This window comes from Homo sapiens, chromosome 22, assembly GCF_000001405.40.
Source record: "Homo sapiens chromosome 22, GRCh38.p14 Primary Assembly".
Lineage (NCBI taxonomy): Eukaryota > Metazoa > Chordata > Mammalia > Primates > Hominidae > Homo > Homo sapiens.
Genome location: NC_000022.11, coordinates 45,491,882 through 45,512,489, shown reverse-complemented (window position 1 = coordinate 45,512,489; position 20,608 = coordinate 45,491,882). Strand labels below are relative to the sequence as shown.

Here is a 20,608-nt window from a genome sequence, read left to right as displayed (position 1 = left end):
TCATCAAGTCCTACCCCATGTGTTGCCTTCTCAGTGCCTGCCCAGGACTCTCGGCCAGGCTGGGGTGGGGGCAAAAAGGGGACTGGGGCTAACAGATCCCCCACGCCAACTCCACGCCTCATAGGTACCAAGAGTTCTGCGGGGGTCAACAGCATCCAACCAACTGCCTGATCAGTCAGGCCCCCCACCTTCAGAAGGGTGTCAAATCAAGGCCATTTGTACACAAACCCTAGGGCAGCTGAGCAGCCCTGGAACACTGTGAGTCAGGAGGATAATGTGGGCCAACCGAAGCCACGCCTGCTTCTTCCATCCCAGACCGCCAACAGCTGTGAGCAGCTCTGAGATCCAAAAATTACCTCTGACCAGTACCACACTGGACACCCACCCAAGCAGAACAGGCACTCGCTGGTAACTCGACACTGGGCTGTGGGGGATCAAGAGAGAAGCAGGGCCTCAGGGGACCTGGAATCTTCTCTCCCAGATCATTTCCTGTTGTTTCGGAGGAGTTTCAATCAACCAGTCTCAATCTGACCCCTGCATCTGACCATGTGAGTTAGATCCAAAGCATAATATTAGATATAAACCAAGAGCAAACTCTTGCAAAATCTCGTTAACCTTCAACTCGAATGTTCCCAGGGAAGGCAACGCTGCGGGTTAAAACTGCTCAGCCTTGAATCCAGCTCCCTCCCTTACTAAGACTCAAGGAGGCTCACTTCCTTCATCTGTAAAAATGGGGGAAGAGGCCGGGAGCAGTGGCTCATGGGTGTAATCTCAGCACTTTGGGAGGCTGAAGTGGGCAGACATCACTTCAGTCCAGGAGTTCGAGACCAGCCTGGCCAACATGGTAAAACCCAGTCTCCACTAAAAATACAAAAATTAGCTGGGCATGGTGGCGGGCACCTGAAATCCCAGCTACTCAGGAGGCTGAGGTGAGAGAATCACTTGAACCCGGGAGGCAGAGGTTGCAGTGAGCCAAGATCGTGCCACTGTACTCCATCCTGGGTGACAGAGTGAGACTGTCTAAAAAAAAAAAAAAAGCCAGGCATGGTGGCTCATGCCTGTAATCCCAGCACTTTGAGAGGCCGAGGCAGGTGGATCACCTGAGGTTGGGAGTTTGAGACCAGCCTGACCAACATGGAGAAAGCCCGTCTCTACTAAAAATACAAAATTAACCAGGCATGGTGACGTATGCCTGTAATCCCAGCTACTCGGGAGGCTGAGGCAGGAGAATCACTTGAACCCAGGAGGCAGAGGTTGCAGTGAGCTGAGATCATGCCATTGCACTCTAGCCTGGGCAACAAGAGCGAAACTCTGTCTCAAAAAAAAAAAAAATGGGGGAAGATTGATGAGATAATCCAGGAAAAGTGCTTACATTAGCACACTGACCACAGGAAAAAACAGAAGCTTCAAAATTAAACAAAAGGAAAAGTTATCACACCAGGATTGGGAGAACATTCTTTTTCAAAGGAACCACACACTCCTCCAGGCTGACACGGTGCCCGATGGCCAACACGCCACCACATCCACCACCTCTCTTCAGGAGAGACACATGCCTGCCGGAGTAACTGGTGCAGATGGATGGAGCTGGCTCAGTTCACAGGCCTCAGATACCGTTTGTTGCCTGGGACAGCTGCTAAAACTAAATTTTTTCCAGGTGAGTTAAACCTCCATAAAGATTATGGTGTAGATCAGCGGCATGCCCCATGTTCCAAGGCATGCAGAGAAACACAGGTCACATGGCCTGCGGGGACCATGCCCTGGACACCCAGGAAGGATATGGCCACGTGCTCTTTCTAAGACTACAGATGCTCAGAGAGATTCTGTACCACTCCTTGGGTGGAAGCTTCCAGAATGTCAGCCTGCTAGCTGTAAACATCGCAGAAGCTTTGGGCAATGCCTGATCCCATCCCCAGCAGCCTGTGAGCCACGAGGATCTTAATTCCCAGGTTGCTGAGCAAGCAGACTGTCACAGAGGGGAGACTGGGGGCTGGGAACCGGGAGGCCTGGAGTCTGCTTCTGATCTCATGGTTGAGAGTTTTCCCACCCGGAGCAAGTCCGGGCCTCAGTTTTTTCATTTATAAACTGAATGGAGGATTTGGCCTGCAGTTAAGAGCAGGCTTCCCCAATCCCACCCTGTGTAAGGGCATTGCTCTGGCAAAATTTCCACTGGGTTGCAACAAAATAGGGTGAAAGCAAAGCAGGATCCAGGGACCTCTACAAAGCCGGCCCGATTCCATCTACAATACTGTCTTTTATTGTGAGACCGCGTCCTTCCAAAATCCGGGGCATTAAAATGTCCCCTACCTCTGTGAAGTGGTGACGATATGAGATGGTGGTTGAATGGGTGTCTGTTTTTTATTTTAATATCCTCATCGGGCAAATGAGGATATTTTAAGTTGGCAAAGCTCCGTGAATAGCTGGGGATGAAGTAAAGGCATGTGATCAGAAGCCAGCCTCAATTTCCTTGATTTCCTCTGCTCAAGCTCAAAAACTCAGAGGCAGCTGAGGGCGTCAGGAGTTTTTAAAAGTGAATGGGAGCTTGAGGCTTCATCCTGTGTGCCTCCCGGACTCACCACACAAAAGGATCATGCCCCCACCCCACCTGCCCCACAGCATTGTCTAAAGCTACAGCAAAGAGTTGGAGTGGCCTCCGTGGTGTCCAGAACCAAGGAACCGAAAAGCCTGAAATGCAACAAGATGTCAACCACAGAGACCCTGATGGAAAGTTCCAACCAAACAGGACTGGGCGACTCCACCCAACCCCCACCTGCACCCTGCCCCTCCTGAGTAGCTGGGATTACAGGCGCCTACCACCACGCCTGGCTAATTTTTTGTATTTTTAGTAGAGACGGAGTTTTACTATGTTGTCTGGGAAGCCACCAGGGGTCCAGCCAGATTGGCCTATGTCCCTGCATCCCTTACAGTTCCAGGATGAGGACAGACTCGTGTCCCCTCTTCAAGACCACCTGGCCTCTGCAGGAGGAAGCAGGGCGAACTGGAGCCTGCTCTTAGGGCTCCTGGCCCCATCCCCAACACAAGACCTGACTGTGTCCACTGCTGAGCCTGTTCCCAGCATCTGTCATGGAGATGACAGGGGTCTTGGATGGTGAACCAGCCGGGAGGAGGCAGCAAGAGAGAAGGAGCAGAAGGTACCTCTCTGGGAAGGCGAGAAGCATTCTCCCCACAGTTCCCTCCAGGCAGCTCTGGCCCCGGCAGCAACTTCCTACATCAGCCCAGTGCACAGAGGGGCATCCTCATCCTTCTGCAACATCCCACCCTGCTCCAAGGGCCTCCTGGGCTTCCAGGACGCATCTCCCCTGGTGTTCCTCTCACCCCTCTGGCCACCTGTCATGCATCCTCTGCACCTGGCATTTGGAACCTGGAGCTTCAAAGGCTGGAGGGTCCCAGGACGCTTGCTCTCCTCAGGCCAGCTTGTTCATGCCACACCAGCTCAAAGGTCCCTTCCTCCAGGAAGTCCTCCCTAACTACCGCCAATGCACACACATATGCACATATACACGCATGCACATGGGACAAATATGTTTTCTTTCTTGCATGGTCTCTTTGTACTCTGAGCTTCCCAGCACTTAGCACAAATAATTAACTCTGTACTTAGTGCCATGAGTCTGAGCCAGACACTGTCTCATTCTGCCTCCTGCCCCCATGCCTGCCCTAAGCAGTCATTCAATAAATGTCCGTGAATGAATGAACGCACAAATGATCTCACATGATCCTAGGTATTCTATAAAGTGGGGGCAAAGAGAGAATCACCAAGTTGCCCGAGGCCATGCAGCCTCTGCAGAGGCAGGCTTCAGATCCAGCTCTGACTGTAAAGCTCATACACACCCCACCATCACACTCCAAAGGAAACAGGCATCCCCCCCTGAACTAGACTTAAAGATTCAAGTCTTCTAAAGGTGCGTGAGGCTGGCTGGGCGCGGTGGCTCACGCCTGTAATTCCAGCACTTTGGGAGGCCAAGGTGAGCAGATCACGAGGTCAGGAGTTAGAGACCACTCTGGCCAACATAGTGAAACCCCGTCTCTACTAAGAATACAAAAAATTAGCCAGGCGTGGTGGCGGGCACCTGTAATCCCAGCTACTTGGGAGGCTGAGGCAGGAGGATTGCTTGAACCTGGGAGGCAGAGGTTGCAGTGAGCCAAGATCACACCCCAGACAGTGCAAGACTCCGTCTCAAAAAAAAAGATACGCGAGGCTGTCCAGTGTGCTGGTGAGGGGTATGACGTCAGGGCCAAGCTGCCCAAGCTCAAGTCCTGCTGCTGTCACTTAGCAGCTATGCACCCACAGTCTTGCTACCTGGACTCTCTGGGCCTCCATGTCCCCTCATTGATGAGGGGGACAATGACAGCACCTCCTTTGCAGGGCTAGGGTGAGGGTATAGCTAGGTAACACAGGTGAACTGGGGCAGGGGTGGGGCAGGAAGGTGCTCGAGTCCCCGTGCTGTGGGGAGACCATGCTGGGTGCACAGGTGTTGGATTTCCATCCTCAACCTATCACACGCATCAGTGACTCTCAGAAATGGCACTGTGCAGGTCCATAGAGGAGTTCTAGGCCAAAACAAGAAGCCGGGCTTCATACCTAGGTAGCAAAACTCACAGGACCTTTTCACTCCAGTGGGTAACAGGATCCAAAATGAAAAACAGGGCCAGGCGCAGTGGCTCACGCCTGTAATCCCAACACTTTGGGAGGCCGAGACAGGTGGATCACTTGAGGTCAGGAGTTCAAGACCAGTCTGGCCAACATGGTGAAACTACATCTCTACTAAAAATACAAAAATTAGCCAGGTGTGGTGGCGCATGCCTGTAGTCGCAGCTACTCAGGAGACTGAGGCAGGAGAATGGTTTGAATACAGGAGGTGGAGGTTACAGTGAGCCGAGATCACACTACTGCCCTCCAGCCTGGCCGGCAGAGTGAGACCCCGTCTCAAAAATAATAATAAAAAATAAAAATAGGTTCAAAACAACACTGGATCACCTATTTCGTAGGGCTGCTGAGATGACGACATTGGTTACTAAATGTAAAGCATTTCACCTATAATAATTACCCAGAGGACACTCACATCTTATAGTGAAGGAAACAGAGGCAGAGAGTTTGTGGGTGTCATCAAGATCTCTCCAGACACTTTCAGAATTGGGACCAACACACAGCTTCCTAACCCCCTTCTCATGTTGGCTCCGCACAGTGTAGTAACCCGCAAATAACCTGTAGGAAGCTATGGCGACTGGTGCCTCGCTCCCTCCCACCCCAGCCTCTAGTTAGGACCACTGTGGGGTTAAAGGAGGTGGGGCCCAGCCCAGCTCTAGGCCCAGCCCCAGCCCCGCTCCTCGCTGGGTGACTTGTGGCAGATGACTTAGCCAGTCCTGAGCTCCCCTCCAGCCTGAGGGGGTCTCCTATCCCAGGGAAGTTGACACAGTGGTTCCCCCCTCCCACCCTGTTTACTTATAGGGCCACATGTGAGATCATCACAAGGAAACTGGAACCATATGGGGCCTACGAAAGGATTCATTCATCAAATTGTTATGATTTGCTATTCTGCAAAAGGAAAATCTTGTTGTATAAAATATGCTGGCAAAATAACTACATGCCCTCTTAGAACTGTTCTAATAAACTTCACCTGGAAGGCGGCCCTGACCAGGTGCCCAGTGCTCAGAGCCCGGGCTTAAAGTCTCACCAGGTCAGGGAAGCTGCTGGAGAAGTCTCTAGACAGCACAGTCTCCCCCAGTGGTGAGGAGGGGGTGGAACTGGAAGGAACTGGAAGTGGGTAGAAGGAGGGGGTTTCCCTGGAAGTCTCGTGTTTTCTCTTCCTTCCAGGTATTTGGCCCTGCCATTTCCCCTGCCAGGAACACCCTTTCCCCCATCCTCCCAGCCCTACCCACAGACTTAGCCACTGCCTTTTCCTCCTTAGGTTCCCAGTTTGCATGCCGCTTCCTCCGGGAAGTCTTCCCTGACTCTGCCAGTAGGGCTCAGTTCATTTTTCTGGATCTCCTAGTTGCATGAGGGGGAAAAACTGGGTCTCTCTCCTTTCCTGCCACATCCACAAGTTATAGAGCAGTGTCTGGCACTGAGCTGTCCCTTAGTGAATGAATGACTGAATGGCTAAGAACACCACCTTTCCTGACACGGGTTTGGCACTGACGACTACCAGTCCTATAGCCCCATGGGGCCTTCTGCTCAGCGCCTGGCTGGGAAATTCAGTAGTAGTAGAATGTGCAGAGGCATCTTGGGGAAAACAATTCTGGGGTATTGGCAGAATTGCGCTCTTCCCGCGCTCCCCTCACATCAAGCCTCATCTCCTCCAAGGAGCCGCCAGGGAGCCCCCAAGGGCTGCGAAGGCTCCTGGTGCCAACACTTCCTAGAGAAGGGGACAACAGGAATAATAGCTAACATTAATAACAGGGCTGCCAGCCGGCACGGTGGCTCACACCTGTAATTCCAGCACTTTGGGAGGCCGAGGTAGGTGGATCACCTGAGGTCAGGAGTTCGAGACTAGCCTGGCCAAGATGGTGAAACCCCATCTCTACTAAAAGTACAAAAATTAGCTGGGCGTGATGGGCGCCTGCAATCCCAGCTGCTGGGGAGGCTGAAGCAGGAGAATCGCTTCAACTCGGGAGGCGGAGGTTGCAGTGAGTCGAGATCATGCCATTGCACTCCAGCCTGGGCGACAAGAGCGAAACTCCGTCTCAAAAATAAAATAAAATAATAATAATAATAATATAGCTGCCATGGTAGACACTATCCTATGTTCTCTCTCTTAATCCTCAAGACAACCTAAGTAGGTTTTTGTTCCCTTCATTTTATAAATGAGAAAACCACCAAACCATCTCATGGCTTTTTCTGATGCAAACTGATTTCTAGTCTCACAAGGCCCGTGGAGCCCTCCAGGACCTGAAGATGAGTCAGCCGCGTGCCCCTACTCCTGCCCTACACACCTAACAGGGGTGGCAAATGCAGCCCTGAGTTGGGGGGCACTCAGCAGGGCCAGGAGCGGGGCGTGAGCCAGAGCTGTGGGTGCTGCAGGAGAGGCCCCAGCCCTGACCCCCATGGCACAGAGTCTCATCTTCATGCATTCAGTGCCCTGGCCCCCACCTCCTGACTGGGAAACTTCCAGGAGTGGCGGCACAGACCACACGTTTTCAAGCCAAGTCCTCCCTGGCCTTTGTTCTCCCTCCCAACTTTCTTTTAATCAGTCGGAAACGCTGCCCGGCTGCAGCCAGAGGCCAAGAAAGCCTTGGAGAAAACACAATCGTCTTTTCCTAACACCTCCTCCTCTCCACTCCCTCCCACCCAGCTCTCAGTAAAGCCCAACGGGACGGACAGACACAGGACAGACAGGCGGCTCCTCTCGGCCGTTTGGCAAGAAAGATCAGCGCCCTTCTCCATTTAAGCGGCCGTCGCCAAAGGAGTTTCTGCAGATCAGCTAACAGGCTCACCATCTGCGGCCCCACAGCTCTCTGAGAGCAGGGGCGGTGCCACTTGTGGCCTTACATACAGGGCTTCGGGGGCCTCACAGCTGCAGATAGGGGCCAGGCAGTCTTCAAAAGCCCCTTCCCAAACTGTACCAAATTAAACCTGTTGAAACTCAAAGAGACTTCTCCCCAAAAGAAACAAAAGGCCCACAGGACATCCAGCTGCTTTTATCGAAGTGTGCAATTAGGAGGCTTTTTTAAACCCTTCCAATTACAAACTTCTCTGTGGCTCAGCAGTGAGCCACACTGGGCCCGCAAGTCCTGGGGTGTTCATTCAGTCACACACACATAGGGAGAAATTGTTCGCAAACCGCAGACAGAAAAGAACAGTGAGAGGGAACGCAGAGACTCCGGGGCCAGGGAGAGTTTTACCACGCCTTCTCTCAGGCCCTCAGCTTCCTCATCGACACAATCGGGGCCTCTGAGGCTCCTTCCTTTTCTAACAGGAGTCTCGGATGTCCCACCCACCCATCACCCAGGGCCCCTCGGGGTTTTCCCTCCAGCTGGCAGCCACCCGGCCTGCTGCTTGCTGGAATGCCCTCTTCCCGCGCTCCCCTTACATCAAGCTCCATCTCTTCTAAAGAGCCTCCAGGGAGCCCCCAGGGGCTGCGAAGGCTCCTGGTGCCAACACTGAGCTCTGCGCCTCCCCACACCATCTCCAACCCCACGAGGTGCCCAGGCCGTGCCCAGCACCGCCTGAACAATCAGAGCTCCACAGGGCTCTGCTGCAGCCAGCCAGTCAAGAAAGCTCTGTAGAGCTCAGCTCCCAGCCTCCCCTCCCCCTCCAGCCCCCTTCAGCCCCCTTCCTGGAATCCCCCAGTGAGCATTAGTTGGGACAAGCGACCTTTTGACTAACAAAGGCGGTCACCAGAGGTTAAAAGGAACTCAACTAAACCAGGGATTAAGACTCGGATTCTGAGGGTGGTCTAGGGCACTCCCCTGGACCTGGGCCACTGGAGAAACAAAGACGCCAGGAGTGCCGGGCCTGGCTAGTGGCTCTGAGAAGCCACGGGTCAGCAGAGAGGTCACAGGTCATAGCTCTGCCGCCCAGCAGCTGCTCTGATCAGAGGACCTCGTGGCAGTCCCCCCAGGGACCAGGCCTTGAGGGTTAGAGGGGAGAAAAGCGCGGGCTGGGTGGGCACTGTCCCGGAGCTGTCAGTCCCAGAGTTGGGGCCTAAGGTCTGGGCCATCGATCAGATCTGCTCTTGGAAAACTCCATCCCCCTTGCCGTTGGTGGAAGTGACCAGTCCCCAGTCCCCGCTGAGCACCGAGCCCGGCAGAACCACTGCCTTGGGCCCTCTGTCCCGGGAGGGAGGCAGGGAGGAGGTGGCCAGGTCCGCATCCCCTCCATCCTCCCAGCTACGCCCCAAAAACCTCCAGGCTGCTCCCTGGCTTTCTCATTTCTTCCTCTCCAGCCCCTATCCCAGGACCGCTAGTGTCTCCTGGGGAAAAGACTGCTTCCCACCCTCCAGGCTCAAGTTTCACATCCGCAAGCTGGGTACAACAGCTCCTACCTGGGGGTGGAGGCGGGAAGCGGTGAGGAAAGATAGCCGAGGGCGCTTCCAGCGTCAAGTGCAAGGCGCCCTGGGCTCGGTAACCCCCAGCCAGCGTCCCCCAGCCCAGCTAGCGCCCCTGAACCCCCAGGGCCCGGGATGCGGCCCCCGGAGCCGGCTGGATTTGCTAGGACTGGGGTAGGACGGTGTGTTTGAGGGGTGGGGGAATCCGGTTTTGAAACAAGTCCCCAGGCCGGGGAGGAGATGAGGACCGGAGCTGGCCGTGGGGGAGGGGGGCGTCGCCGAGGCCTCGGCGCTGACAGTCCGGGGGCGCCGCGCAGGGCAACGCACGGACTCCGAGTCCCCGTGGTTCCGAAACTCGCAGGGAGCGCGAGGCCGAGGGGGTCGGGACCCTAAGCTGGGGCGGCGGACCCGGGACGCCCCTACCTCCGGCCGCCAGCAGCGCAAGGCCGCCGAGCAGCAGCAGCGGAAGCGGGACCCGGCGCGACGGCGCGGCGCGCTCCATGGGCGGCGGGCGACGGGCGGTGGGCGGCGGCGGACAAAGGCGCGGGCGCGGTCCTGGGGCAGCGGCGCGGGCTCCACGCTCCGGCCGAGCCTCGGCAGCCAACGCTGGGCCAGGGCCGCGCCGTTCAATTATCCCGCCCGGGAGGAGGGCGCGGCGGAGGCGGGGCCGCGGGTCTCCTGGTCCTCCCTCCCCGGCGCCCCCTGCCGGGACCCTCCCTCCCCGGACCCCGGCTGCGAGGGGCGCGCGCCCACGGCTGGGGGCGAGGGCCTGGATCCCAGACTTCCCCGGAGGGGGCACAGAGGGGGCGCCTTCGGGCCGGATGCCCCCAGTCCTATCCCCCAACACTCCGTGAAACCCGATCCCCTCCTCCCCCCACCCCCTCTCGAGGGGAGGGCTCGGGATCAAAGGTTATCCCCGCCCGACTCCGCGCGGAGGAGCGGGGACCCGGGCCTGCAGTCGGAGGCCCGGCTGCTGGGGGGCACTGGGGCAGGCCTTACCGCCAACCCCGCACCCTCGGCCGGGAGGCTGCAGGTCGGTGGCTAACCCCAGGCGTGTCCCGGGATGGGACCCGACTCTGCCCTCAGAGACAGGGACAGTCGGGCCAGGCCAACAAACAACCAAAATCCCAACGTGTGCTGGGCTCACCCGGGACACCAGGGCCGGAGGGAGAGACCCGGGAAGTCACCGAGGCTGCAGGGGAGGCAGCTTTGGCGCTGGGCCTGCGGGAGCCTCTTGTATAGGAATTCATAGCTACCGGGGTTACTGAGGATGAGTTAGGCTTTGGAACCACAAGTAGATTTATTTTCCAAAGAAGAAGAATAAAATGGTGCAGGTGAAGATGCGGAGGAACTGGATGAGACGCATAGGAACGCCACTGGGCAGCTCAAAGCGGTGTTCCTGTGAGTTCACCATGGACCCCTTGAGCCACCGACGCCCCGCCCAGCCTTACACTCAGCAGAAACGCATACAACATGTGCTCCAAAAGACAGAAAGACATGTAGCCGCACATTCATAATTCCTCCAATTGGGAAGCCTAGCGTCATCAAGGCAGATGAATATCGTGGAGTATTCGGGCTTAGGAGCACGACAAACGGAACAGGAGTGAATGATCCGCAACTCACATAACGGGTAAATCTCACAGACGTAAGTCAGAGTAATAGAGTCAGCCACAAAGGAACACTCGCTGCATGATTCCATTTACATAAAAGGCAAGAACAGGCCGGTGGCGGTGGCTCACACCTGTAATCCCAGCACTTTGGGAGGATGAAGTGGGCGGATTGCCTGAGGTCAGGAGTTCGAAACCAGCCTGGCCAACATGGTGAAACCCTGTCTCTACTAAAAATAAAAATAAAAATAAATTAGCCAGGCATGGTGGTGCACACCTGTAGTCCCAGCTACTCGGGAGGCTGAGGCAGGAGAATCGCCTGAACCCGGGAGACGGAGGTTGCAGTGAGCCGAGATCTCACCACTGCACTCCAGCCTGGGCGGCGGAGTGAGACTCCGTCTCAAAAAAAAAAAAAAAAAAAAAAAAAGGCAAGAACAGTTCAGAGGTCAGGAGAGTGGTGATCCTGGAGTGGGAGCGTGCTGGGCTTTCGGGGGCTGGTTAGGTTCAGCTTTCTTACTCTGGGTATTGGTTACAAGGTTGGGCTCAGTTTGTGAGAATTTATTGAGCTGTTCATTTATGGTACGTGCCCTTTTCTGAATACATGTTGTTTCTTTCTGTTTTTTTGAGATGGTGTTTTGCTTTTGTTGCCCAGGCTGGAGTGCAGTGGCGCAATCTCAGCCCACTGCAACCTCCACCTCCCGGGTTCAAGCGATTCTCCTGCCTCAGCCTCCTGAGTAGCTGGGACTACAGGCATGCACCACCACGCCTGGCAAATTTTGTATTTTTAGTAGAGACGGGGTTTCTCCGTGTTGGTCAGGCTGGTCTTGAACTCCCGACATCAGGTGATCCACCCGCCTTGTCCTCCCAAAGTGCTGAGATTACAGGCGTGAGTCACCGTGCCCGGTCACATGTTAAATTTTAAAATGAAAAACAAAAGGACAAGAACTCATCTCCCCACAGGGTGTCTTATAAGTTTGAAGTTTGCAGAGAGCCCAGGAAAGCTTACCAAGGGGACCAGCATGCTCACGCCTCTGAGGTTAAGGAGGCCCCTCAGGAAGAGGTGACATGCGACTGGCCAGTGAAAGGTGAGCAGAGGTGGGAAGGGTTTCCTTGGTGGTGCCAGCTTTCCTGATGTCTCTGCAAAAGTTTGGAGGCACCAGAGATCCTGGTCCGTTTTGACTTTGGATGGGGTGGGGTGCGGAAACAGCACATCAGCAGATGGCCCGAGGGAGGCATTTCTGAGTTGGAACAGGTTGGGAACTCATTACTACTTTGGTATTAACTTAATTCGTTTAAGCCATCGGAGAATGGGGTGCCCTGGAAGGAGTCTAGATGACTAAGGGAAGGTGGTGGAGGGCGAAGGGGGAACCAGGGGACCTGGGGGATTCAGAAAGAAGACGTAGAAACAGGCAGAGGGGTAGAAGGAAACCAGGAGAAGGCAATATCCAAGAAGGAATCAAAAAGTGATTCTGGGCAGGGCGTGGTGGCTCATGCCTGTAATCCCAACACTATGGGAGGCCGAGGTGGGTGGATCACTTGAGGTCAGGGGTTCGAGACCAACCTGGCCAATATGATGAAACCCCATCTCCACTAAAAATACAAAAATTAGCTGGGCATCGTGGTGCATGCCTGTAGTCCCAGCTACTTGGGAGACTGAGGCAGGAGAGTTGCTTGAACCCTGAAGGCGGAGGTTGCAGTGAGCCAAGATTGTACCACTGCACTCCAGCCTGGGTGATAGCAAAAAAAAAGTGATTCTGGCTGGGACTGCCCAGTGTGGCCCAGTGCTCAGTGAAGCCAGGACTGAGAAGTCCCAATGGGGATGGAGCAGGTGGCCGCTGGCGATGTGACCGGGGCCCTTTCTGGGGATGGGGAGGGAGTGGCTGTGTTGTGGGTGGCTGAGAAGGGGGTGGGGATGAGGAAACAGGGACAGTAGGAGGAGGTGACTCCTACATTCAGCTAGGCACTGACACTGCCCTAGGCAGGCAGAGGGACTGCTGGGAGGAGGAGGGCTGAGCCAAGCCTGCAACAGCTGGGGAGGGAGGCCAGAGCCAGGAGAGAGGACATGGAAACCTGGCCTCTCCCAGCCTTTCCTGAAGCTTCAAGAGCTTACTCCTGTTCTGAGGCACAGCCCCCACCATTTTTTTTTTTTTTTTTTTTTTTTGAGGCAAGTCTCACACTGTCACCCAGGCTGGAGTGCAATGCCACGATCTTGGCTCACTGCAACCTCTGTCTGCCGGGTTCACGCAATTGTCCTGCCTCAGGCTCGGGGGTAGCTGGGATTACAGGCACACACCATCAAACCCAGCTAATTTTTTGTATTTTTAGTAGAGACGGGGTTTCACTGTGTTGGTCAAACTGGTCTCGAACTCCTGACCTTGTGATCCGCCTGCCTCAGCCTCCCAAAGTGCTAGGATTACAGGCGTGAGCCGTGGCGCCCAGCCAAGGCGCCCCCTTTTTAGGCACTCACTCTAGTCCTCATCCCAGGCCTGTCCTCCATGGCCTCTCCACATCCTCTTGTCCCTGTGGCTGGTGACTTGGAAAGCCAGGCACTGGGTGTCAGGGAAGTAGGCACCACCATGGACCCCTATCCCCCAGGACAAGCTAGAGGTCCTGACAGCCTGGGACAGGGTCTGAGGCCAGACCACCTGGGTTCCAATCCAAGCTCGCTACTCTCTGGCTCTGTGGCATTGAGCATTTGACTTCTTGGTACCTTGTTTCCTCATCTGTCACGTGGGGCAAGGATTAGGACTTTGCACTTTGCACGGTCGTGAGAATTGAAGGAGATGCTGACTCTCATCACATAAGCCCCACAGAGAAAACTCTGTAATGTAATCACTGTCAGCTGCTGTGCTGGTGGTGACAGTGATGTGCCTTCAGGACCACACAGGGGAGCACCAGTCCTGACCCCCTCCTCATTCACTGTCTGGCTCTGGGCAAGTCCCTTTCTGGGCCTCAGTTTCCCTATCTGCAAAATGCAGGAGATGGACCAGGATGCTTCTAAGCATGCTTCAGACCCCAAAACCCAGGCTGACTCTCGGCCCCCTTCTCTAGTTCTCAGCACATCCAGCTTCCAGAGGCCCACTGGAAGATCATAGGCCTGAGATTCTTGCAGTCCAGGTGAGCCACACCCAGGTGCTGGGAGAAGAACCCATCATGGGCACGGGCATTCCTGCACATTCTTGCTGAGTATGCCACAAATGCAAAGCCCTGGTCACTCTGTACCCGTGTCTCAGGGTCGTGTTTGCAAAAAGCAACCTCAAAGGAGGAGGTACCATCTCCCTCTGGACAAGTTTACCGGAAAATCGGTAAATTCCCCAAACTCAGTGTTCTCCTGTGTAATGCAGCCCATTGTGTGTGCAGGCATCCACCATCCATGATGGGCCCTTGACCTCGCCCACTCCACACCGACCCTAGGACTTGGAAGACACAAGGAACTCATGTGAACACCATGCTTAAACTGCAGCTATTATTTTACTGCAACTAATAAAGTCCCTGTCTCTGACCCAGGAGTCTCAGAACTGGAGATTGGCAGTGCCTCTATTTGAATGGAGGTCATCTGACTCCCTTTGTATCTTGGGTTCTGTTTTTCAATAAAAATTATAGCATTGTAACATTTCCCTGTCTTATTAGAAATCTCCATTACATATCCAGTGAGTGGATATGTTTAGAAGTCGCATACACATTTACTTAACCACTCACTCTCTTATTAGGGGACATTTTCGTCATTTAAACTTTGCAGCGTTAGAAATGATGCTGCCGTGAAACCTGTGCGCTCCAGGTTCAGCTGTACCTCTGCGGCTCCCAGCAGGAATGGCCTAGAAGAGTAAGTGCTGCACCAAGAAACTGACAAATTCACAATCCAGAGAGAGACACAGCAGCTGTGAGTCTCTCCACTTCCAGCCAGCATTGTGTCACCTCGTTGTTTAATCTGAGCTATTTCCACAGGGAAAAGAAACTCTTATCTTCTTTCAAAGTATGTTTTTAATCATCAGAGAGGTTGAACCCTTCTCATATGCTTATTAGCTGGTTCTATTTCTCTTTGGATGGCTCCCTTCATAACCTTTAAGTGTTTATTTTTGTAATAGAATTATTTAAAACAGTGAAAATCTAGGGAAAAATACAGAGTTCAACAATAGCCCATTTATGGTATGTACAGTTGGATTCAACCCTATCAATATTTCATGATTCAGTGGAATATCTGTGCCATTGTTGAGAAGACAGAATAGGATACATAAATAGAAATATGGTATTTGTGAACTAATATTCTGTGAAAAAATAGAAAACCAAATTGAGTGTGAGTGTGGAGCGAGGACCACGTAAAAGCTGTATTCATGTGGCTAAAGACTAAAAGGAAACTGAAAGAAAGTGGATGGTGTGTTTGACGAGTGAAAAATTTTTGTTGTTGTTTTTTGTTTCAGGAAACAGTTGAGTCAGGGAGGAATATTTGTGCCAAAAACCTAGAGACGTATATAGTCACTGCACTTCAACCTGACCCCGAGTTTCTTGGCAACCAAAGCAAAATTCAAATTATGATCAAATTATGATTATACTGTTCTTGTTTCCTGACCAAAGACAGTCCACCATTAGGAGAGACATGGTTGTTTCTGGCATTAAATTATCATCATTTTTCTCCTGAGTCTTTTTTTTTTTTTTGAGATGGAGTTTCGCTCTTGCCTACCAGGCTGGAGTGCAACGGTGCAATCTCAGCTCACCGCAACCTCCACCTCCTAGGTTCAAGCGATTCTCCTGCCTCAGCCTCCTGAGTAGCTGGGATTACAGGTGTGCGCCACCACGCCCGGCAAATTTTTGTATTTTTAGTAGAAAGGGGGTTTCACCATGTTGGCCAGGCTGGTCTTGAACTCCTGATCTCAGGCGATCCACCTGCTTCGGCCTCCTAAAGTGCTGGAATTACAGGCGTGAGCCACCTCGCCCAGCTCCCCTCAGTCTTTATGTAAGAGTCAAGAGACTTGATGAGCAGCAAATTTGCTTGTAGTTTGCAAAAAATGAAACTTGTCTTTGGAAAAGTTCCATTAGGGGATGTAGGGGCCAGGGAGGCCCCCCACCCTTTGATCCCTGGGTCCTGGGCAAGATGACACACACCCCAAAGAATCTACTCCAAGCAGGAAGTCATTCATTATGTCCTGCTGTGACAGTCCAGCTTTTTTCCATCCCAGAGGAGCGGAACAACAGGTCACTCTCCCCTGATAACAAACAGCCCTCCAAATGTTTGAAAGATCATTATTGGCATGTGTGGACTGTTTTTCCCTGAATTAGGACACAGACAGCTTTGACGCTGCCCAACCTCTGGAACACAAGTCTGCATCGGTCTTTGCACGTGGTGTTGCTGCTGCTACGCCCCGTCCGCTCCCTCTCTTAGCTTTTTGAGAGTAGCAGCTGCCCTGGTCTCTGCCCACCCCTCCAGGTGCACCTCAGCCTCACCTTCCTTGCATCTTTGCTCAACCAGGCTCCTTCCTGTCCTTCAAGTCTCAGCCAAGATGCCACCTCTGCAGAGAGCCTTTCCTGCCCATCATCCTGACCAAGTCCCTGCACCTTGGTACCCTACACCCACCCCCCTCTTTATGACACATATCCCCCTTCATATTCCTTTATTTCTTTGTTAATGTATTGATTTTTTTTCTTCTGCCCACTAGTCTATGGGCTCCCTGAAGGCAGGGACAGTGTCAGCCCCGTTTGCTGCTATGCCCTGGGTTATTGAGCACATCTCTGATGCTCAGTACATTTTTGTTGGTGCATGAATGGAGAGGGCAATGCCTAGCAGCTGGCGATGCCGTGCGTTTTGAGACAGAGCCACGTGTAACATGACAGCCACTGCTGAGATAGCCATTCTCTCCATATTACAGCAGAGGAGACTGGCTTAGAGAGGTGGCAGAGTCCCTGTACCCGGTGTGGCTTTCCAGATACTGCCCTCTGCCAGCATGGGAGCTGTGGTCCACCCACCTCCACACCTCCACTCCTGGGTCCATTTCTTTTCTTTTTTTTTTTTTTGAGACAGAGTTTCACTTTTGTCACCCAGGCTGGAGTGCAAAGGCGCGATCTCGCCTCACCGCAACCTCCGCCTTCCGGGTTCAAGTGCTTCTCCTGCCTCAGCCTCCCGAGTAGCTGGGATTATAGGCATGCGCCACTATGCCCGGATAATTTTGTGTTTTTGTAGTAGAGACAGGTTTCACCATGTTGGTCAGGCTGGTCTCGAACTCCCAACCTCAGGTAATTCGCCTGCCTCGGCCTCCCAAAGTGCTGGGAATACTGGCATGAGCCACCACGCCCAGTCACTCCTGGGTCCATTTCTGAGTCCCTCCTCCACTAGGGGCTTTTTTCCTCACTGGGAAGGTCCCGGGGCAATGGCTTGATGAGCAATAAATGCAACAAGAGCTCCATGCTTTTAAGTGGGCTGCCAACAAGTTAGAGATTTCAAGTTATTCCACACACATAAAATTTGGAGAACCACGGGCTCTGCCAAGCCTCTAGTAGATGCCTCCCACACAGCACAACACCCAATTCAAGGCTTATATGGTCAGGATTTGTGTCCCCACACAAACCTCATCTTGAATTGTGACCCACAGGGATTTACGAAGAGACCAGGTGGAGGCAATTGAATCATGGGAGTGGATCCCTGCTGCTGTTCTCGTGATAGTGAGTTCTCATAAGATCTGATTATTTCATTTTGTTTTATTTTTTATTTTTATTTTTACTTATTTTATTTTTTTTGAGATGGAGTGTTGCTCTGTCGCCCAGGCTGGAGTGCAGTGGAGTGCATCTCAGCTCACTACAGCCTCTGCCTCCCGGGTTCAAGCAATTCTCATGCCTCAGCCTCCCAAGTAGCTGGAATTACAGGAGCGAGCCACCACACCCAGCTAATTTTTGTATTTTTAGTAGAGACAAGGTTTCACCATGTTGGCCAGGCTGGTCTCGAACTCTTGACCTCAAGTGATCCACCTGCCTCTGCCTCCCAAAGTGCTGGGATTACAGGCATGAGCCACCGCACCCGGCAAGATCTGATGATTTTATAAGGGAGGGGCTCTTCCCGCTTCACTTGGCACTTCTCCTTCCTGCAGCCTTGTGAAGAAGGTGCCTGTCTTCTCTCTTGCCTTCCACCATGGTTGTAAGTTTCCTGAGGCCTCCCCAGACAGGCAGAACTGTGAGTCAATTAAACCTCTTTCCTTTATAAATTACAGTCTTGGGTATGTCTTTATCGTGGTATGAAAATGGACTAATACAAAGGCATTCCAGAATGCGGTCTACTGTCTTCATGGGACTCCTCCTGCAGTGACAACCCCATGTCCATGTCCTCAGGCCAGGCGGTGATGGGGGAATCCCTGGAGGCTGAGGAAGCACCAAGGAAGTGGTCAAAGAAGGCTTCCTGGCCGGGCACGGTGGCTCACACCTGTAATCCCAGGACTTTGGGAGGCTGAGGTGGGTGGATCACTTGAGGTCAGGAGTTTGACACCAGCCTGGACAACATGGTGAAACCCCGTGTCTATTAAAAATACAAAAATATTAGCTGAGCATGGTGGCGCACGCCTGTAATCCTAGCTACTCAGGAGGCTGAGGTGGGAGGATCACTTGAACCCGAGAGGCAGAGGTTGCAGTGAGCCGAGATCGTGCCACTGCACTCCAGCTTGGGCAACAGAGTGAGGTTCTGTCTCAAAAAAAAAAAAAAAAAAAAGGCTTTTTGGAGGAGGTGACCCAACACTGGCACTTTCACAGTCTATAGGATGAGTAGGAGTTAAAGAGGTTCAGGACCAGGAGAAGTGGCCTCGGGGAGGGTGACAAACATCCCAGATAAGGGAGCAGGCTGTGTACAGGTCTAGAGGAAGGATGTTGGGTTCAAATAGTGGGTGTAGCTCAGCAGAGGTTGGGGATAGGGGTGATCAGAGGAGGGGCTGAAAGATGGGTGGGGCCGCCACAGGAAGGGTGGACAGTAGGGAGTGGTCCTATACCAAACACCTCAAAGAGGGTTAAGAATTTAGTCCAGGCACCGTGACTCACACCACTTTGGGAGGCCAAAGCAGGCAGAACACGAGGTCAGGGGTTTGAGACCAGCCTGACCAACATAGTGAAACCCTGTCTCTATTAAAAATACAAAAAATTGGTTTGGCGTGTTGGCGCGTGCCTGTATTCCCAGCTACTCGGGAGGCTGAGGCAAGAGAATCACTTGAACTGGAGAGGCGGAGGTTGCAGTGAGCCGAGATTGCATCATTGCACTCCAGCCTGGATGACAGAGTGAGACTGCATCTCAAAAAAAAAACAAAACAAAAAAAAGAAATTTGGCAGAAGCCAGCTGCCCTCCCAGCTCCCTGCTGGAGGCCCGTCTTGCACTTTTATCTAAGGATGTTAATTTCCATGTGTCGTTCGCCCCAGCATGTGCCAGGCCTTTGGTCTCATTTTACTTACACAGTCAGCCGTGAGAGACACATGCTCTCCTGTCTCACAACAAGGGAGGCAGGATCATAAAGGAACCAGTCAGCTTCATGAGGACCCATGGCAGGGCCAGGATGCAACCCAGGCATGCCTGGGACCCGAGCCATTTCTCACCACCACACCGCGCCCACACAGCACACTGCCAAATGATTGCTTAGTGTTAGGAGCTGAACTGTGTCCCCCGCAAATTCGTCTGTTAAAATCCTAACCCTAGTCCTTCAGAATGTGCCTGTATTTGGAGGTAGGGTCTCTGCAGAGGTCATATGAGTGGGCCCTCCCTAATCCAATAGGAAGAGGATTATAAGAAGAGGGGGTTGGGACACAGACACACACACACCCAGAGTAGACCATGTGATAACCAGGGAGAAGACAGACAGCCCTCTGCAAACTAAGGAGAGAGGCCTCAGGAGAAACCAACCCTGCCGACCCATTGATTTTGGACTTCTGGCCTCTACAATACATTTCTGTTGTTTAATCATCCAGTCTGTGGTCCTTCATTATGGCAGCCCGAGCAAACTAGTACAGCTGGAGACTTGAGGGAGAGGAATTATGTGTCTATGATCTGGGACATGATAGCTCTTTTCTTTTGTTTTTTGTTTGTTTGTTTATTTGAGATGGAGTCTTGCTCTGTCACCTAGGCTGGAGTGCAGTGGTGCAATCTTGGCTCACTGCAACCTCTGCCTCCCAGGTTCAAGTGATTCTTCTGCCTCAGGCATGTGCTACCACGACCAGCTCATTTTTGTATTTTTAGTAGAGTCGGTGTTTCACCATGTTGGCCAGGCTGGAACCTCAGGTGATCCGCTCGCCTCGGCCTCCCAAAGTGCTGGGATCACAGGCGTGAACCACCTCACCCAGCCTGATCTGGGACATTGTAAATAGGTGTGAACCAGGGAAGGAAGGAGCGGGAGAACACAACATTCCAGGACGTTCCAGAACCTCCACTATCCTGGGACACCAGTTCAAACAAAATGAACGTCATTTATCTTTATGTTAAAACATAGTTCCCGGGAGCTTATATCCAGGGCAACTTGAATCTATACTCCCATGTTGTAGTCCTCGAACGGAACCCAAATAAACTCTCTACTGGAAGAAAAATAAATAAATCAACCCCATAGTTCCTGAGTTCCATACTTCTACTCTGCTTTGAAGACTGAAGTTCCTATGCCACAGGAACAAAAGTCCAGAAACAAAAAAGCTGGTAGGATCCTAACACCGGGGGCAGGGAGAGTGCCGTTCTGGCTCTCTAATGGTAGTTGGTGGAGCTGGAAAAAGTGAATGTCCAAAAGATTAAAGCATGGGTGCTCATGTGGAAGAAACAGAACAAAACAAAACCATTACGTGGCTGAAGCAAATGCAATTTTGTTTGTCTCTCATTCTGACAAAACGACAGAACACGCACCAAAGGAGTTCTGGAAAGACTGCCCCATAGCCTGGGGGCAGCAGTGGCAATGGGACAGTCGTTTCGTGCGAGTTTTTGTTTGTTTCAGGGAAGATTTGCATTTCTTCCATATGAGCCATAACTATTGCTTAGAAATGGTGATCTTTAAATTTCCTGTTGGT

At 52.8% G+C, this 20,608-nt stretch overlaps 1 protein-coding gene and 1 long non-coding RNA gene across 6 annotated transcripts in view, besides 6 other annotated features; one reads left to right on the top strand and one right to left on the bottom strand.

The window, feature by feature from the left end:
• Window positions 1–9,607, bottom strand: part of FBLN1 (fibulin 1) — a 98,253-nt gene extending 88,646 nt beyond the window's left edge. For all 4 annotated transcript variants that reach the window (NM_006486.3, NM_006485.4, NM_001996.4 and 1 more), the window contains exon 1: window positions 9,426–9,607. In NM_006486.3, coding sequence (NP_006477.3) covers window positions 9,426–9,504 — 79 coding nt within the window. In that variant the 5' untranslated portion in view covers window positions 9,505–9,607. The remainder of the gene's footprint in view (window positions 1–9,425) is intronic.
• Window positions 5,926–6,537: an enhancer, noted in NCBI's record as "H3K4me1 hESC enhancer chr22:45901833-45902444 (GRCh37/hg19 assembly coordinates)". NCBI's record gives its function as "activates a minimal SCP1, AML or CMV promoter by ChIP-STARR-seq in primed H9 embryonic stem cells {active_cell/tissue: H9 hESC(primed)}" and the evidence as "EXISTENCE:reporter gene assay evidence [ECO:0000049][PMID:30033119]".
• Window positions 6,538–7,151: an enhancer, noted in NCBI's record as "H3K27ac-H3K4me1 hESC enhancer chr22:45901219-45901832 (GRCh37/hg19 assembly coordinates)". NCBI's record gives its function as "activates a minimal SCP1, AML or CMV promoter by ChIP-STARR-seq in naive and primed H9 embryonic stem cells {active_cell/tissue: H9 hESC(naive and primed)}" and the evidence as "EXISTENCE:reporter gene assay evidence [ECO:0000049][PMID:30033119]".
• Window positions 7,152–7,765: an enhancer, noted in NCBI's record as "H3K27ac-H3K4me1 hESC enhancer chr22:45900605-45901218 (GRCh37/hg19 assembly coordinates)". NCBI's record gives its function as "activates a minimal SCP1, AML or CMV promoter by ChIP-STARR-seq in naive H9 embryonic stem cells {active_cell/tissue: H9 hESC(naive)}" and the evidence as "EXISTENCE:reporter gene assay evidence [ECO:0000049][PMID:30033119]".
• Window positions 7,766–8,379: an enhancer, noted in NCBI's record as "NANOG-H3K27ac hESC enhancer chr22:45899991-45900604 (GRCh37/hg19 assembly coordinates)". NCBI's record gives its function as "activates a minimal SCP1, AML or CMV promoter by ChIP-STARR-seq in primed H9 embryonic stem cells {active_cell/tissue: H9 hESC(primed)}" and the evidence as "EXISTENCE:reporter gene assay evidence [ECO:0000049][PMID:30033119]".
• Window positions 8,380–8,993: an enhancer, noted in NCBI's record as "NANOG-H3K27ac hESC enhancer chr22:45899377-45899990 (GRCh37/hg19 assembly coordinates)". NCBI's record gives its function as "activates a minimal SCP1, AML or CMV promoter by ChIP-STARR-seq in primed H9 embryonic stem cells {active_cell/tissue: H9 hESC(primed)}" and the evidence as "EXISTENCE:reporter gene assay evidence [ECO:0000049][PMID:30033119]".
• LOC105373066 (uncharacterized) lies at window positions 11,503–14,220 on the top strand. 2 transcript variants are annotated; one of them, XR_938305.2, is made up of 3 exons: window positions 11,503–11,694; window positions 13,661–13,726; window positions 13,970–14,220. It is a non-coding gene; the product is annotated as an uncharacterized LOC105373066 (long non-coding RNA). The 2 variants fall into 2 exon arrangements; XR_001755615.1 differs by lacking the exon at window positions 13,661–13,726.
• Window positions 12,596–13,232: an enhancer, noted in NCBI's record as "H3K4me1 hESC enhancer chr22:45895138-45895774 (GRCh37/hg19 assembly coordinates)". NCBI's record gives its function as "activates a minimal SCP1, AML or CMV promoter by ChIP-STARR-seq in primed H9 embryonic stem cells {active_cell/tissue: H9 hESC(primed)}" and the evidence as "EXISTENCE:reporter gene assay evidence [ECO:0000049][PMID:30033119]".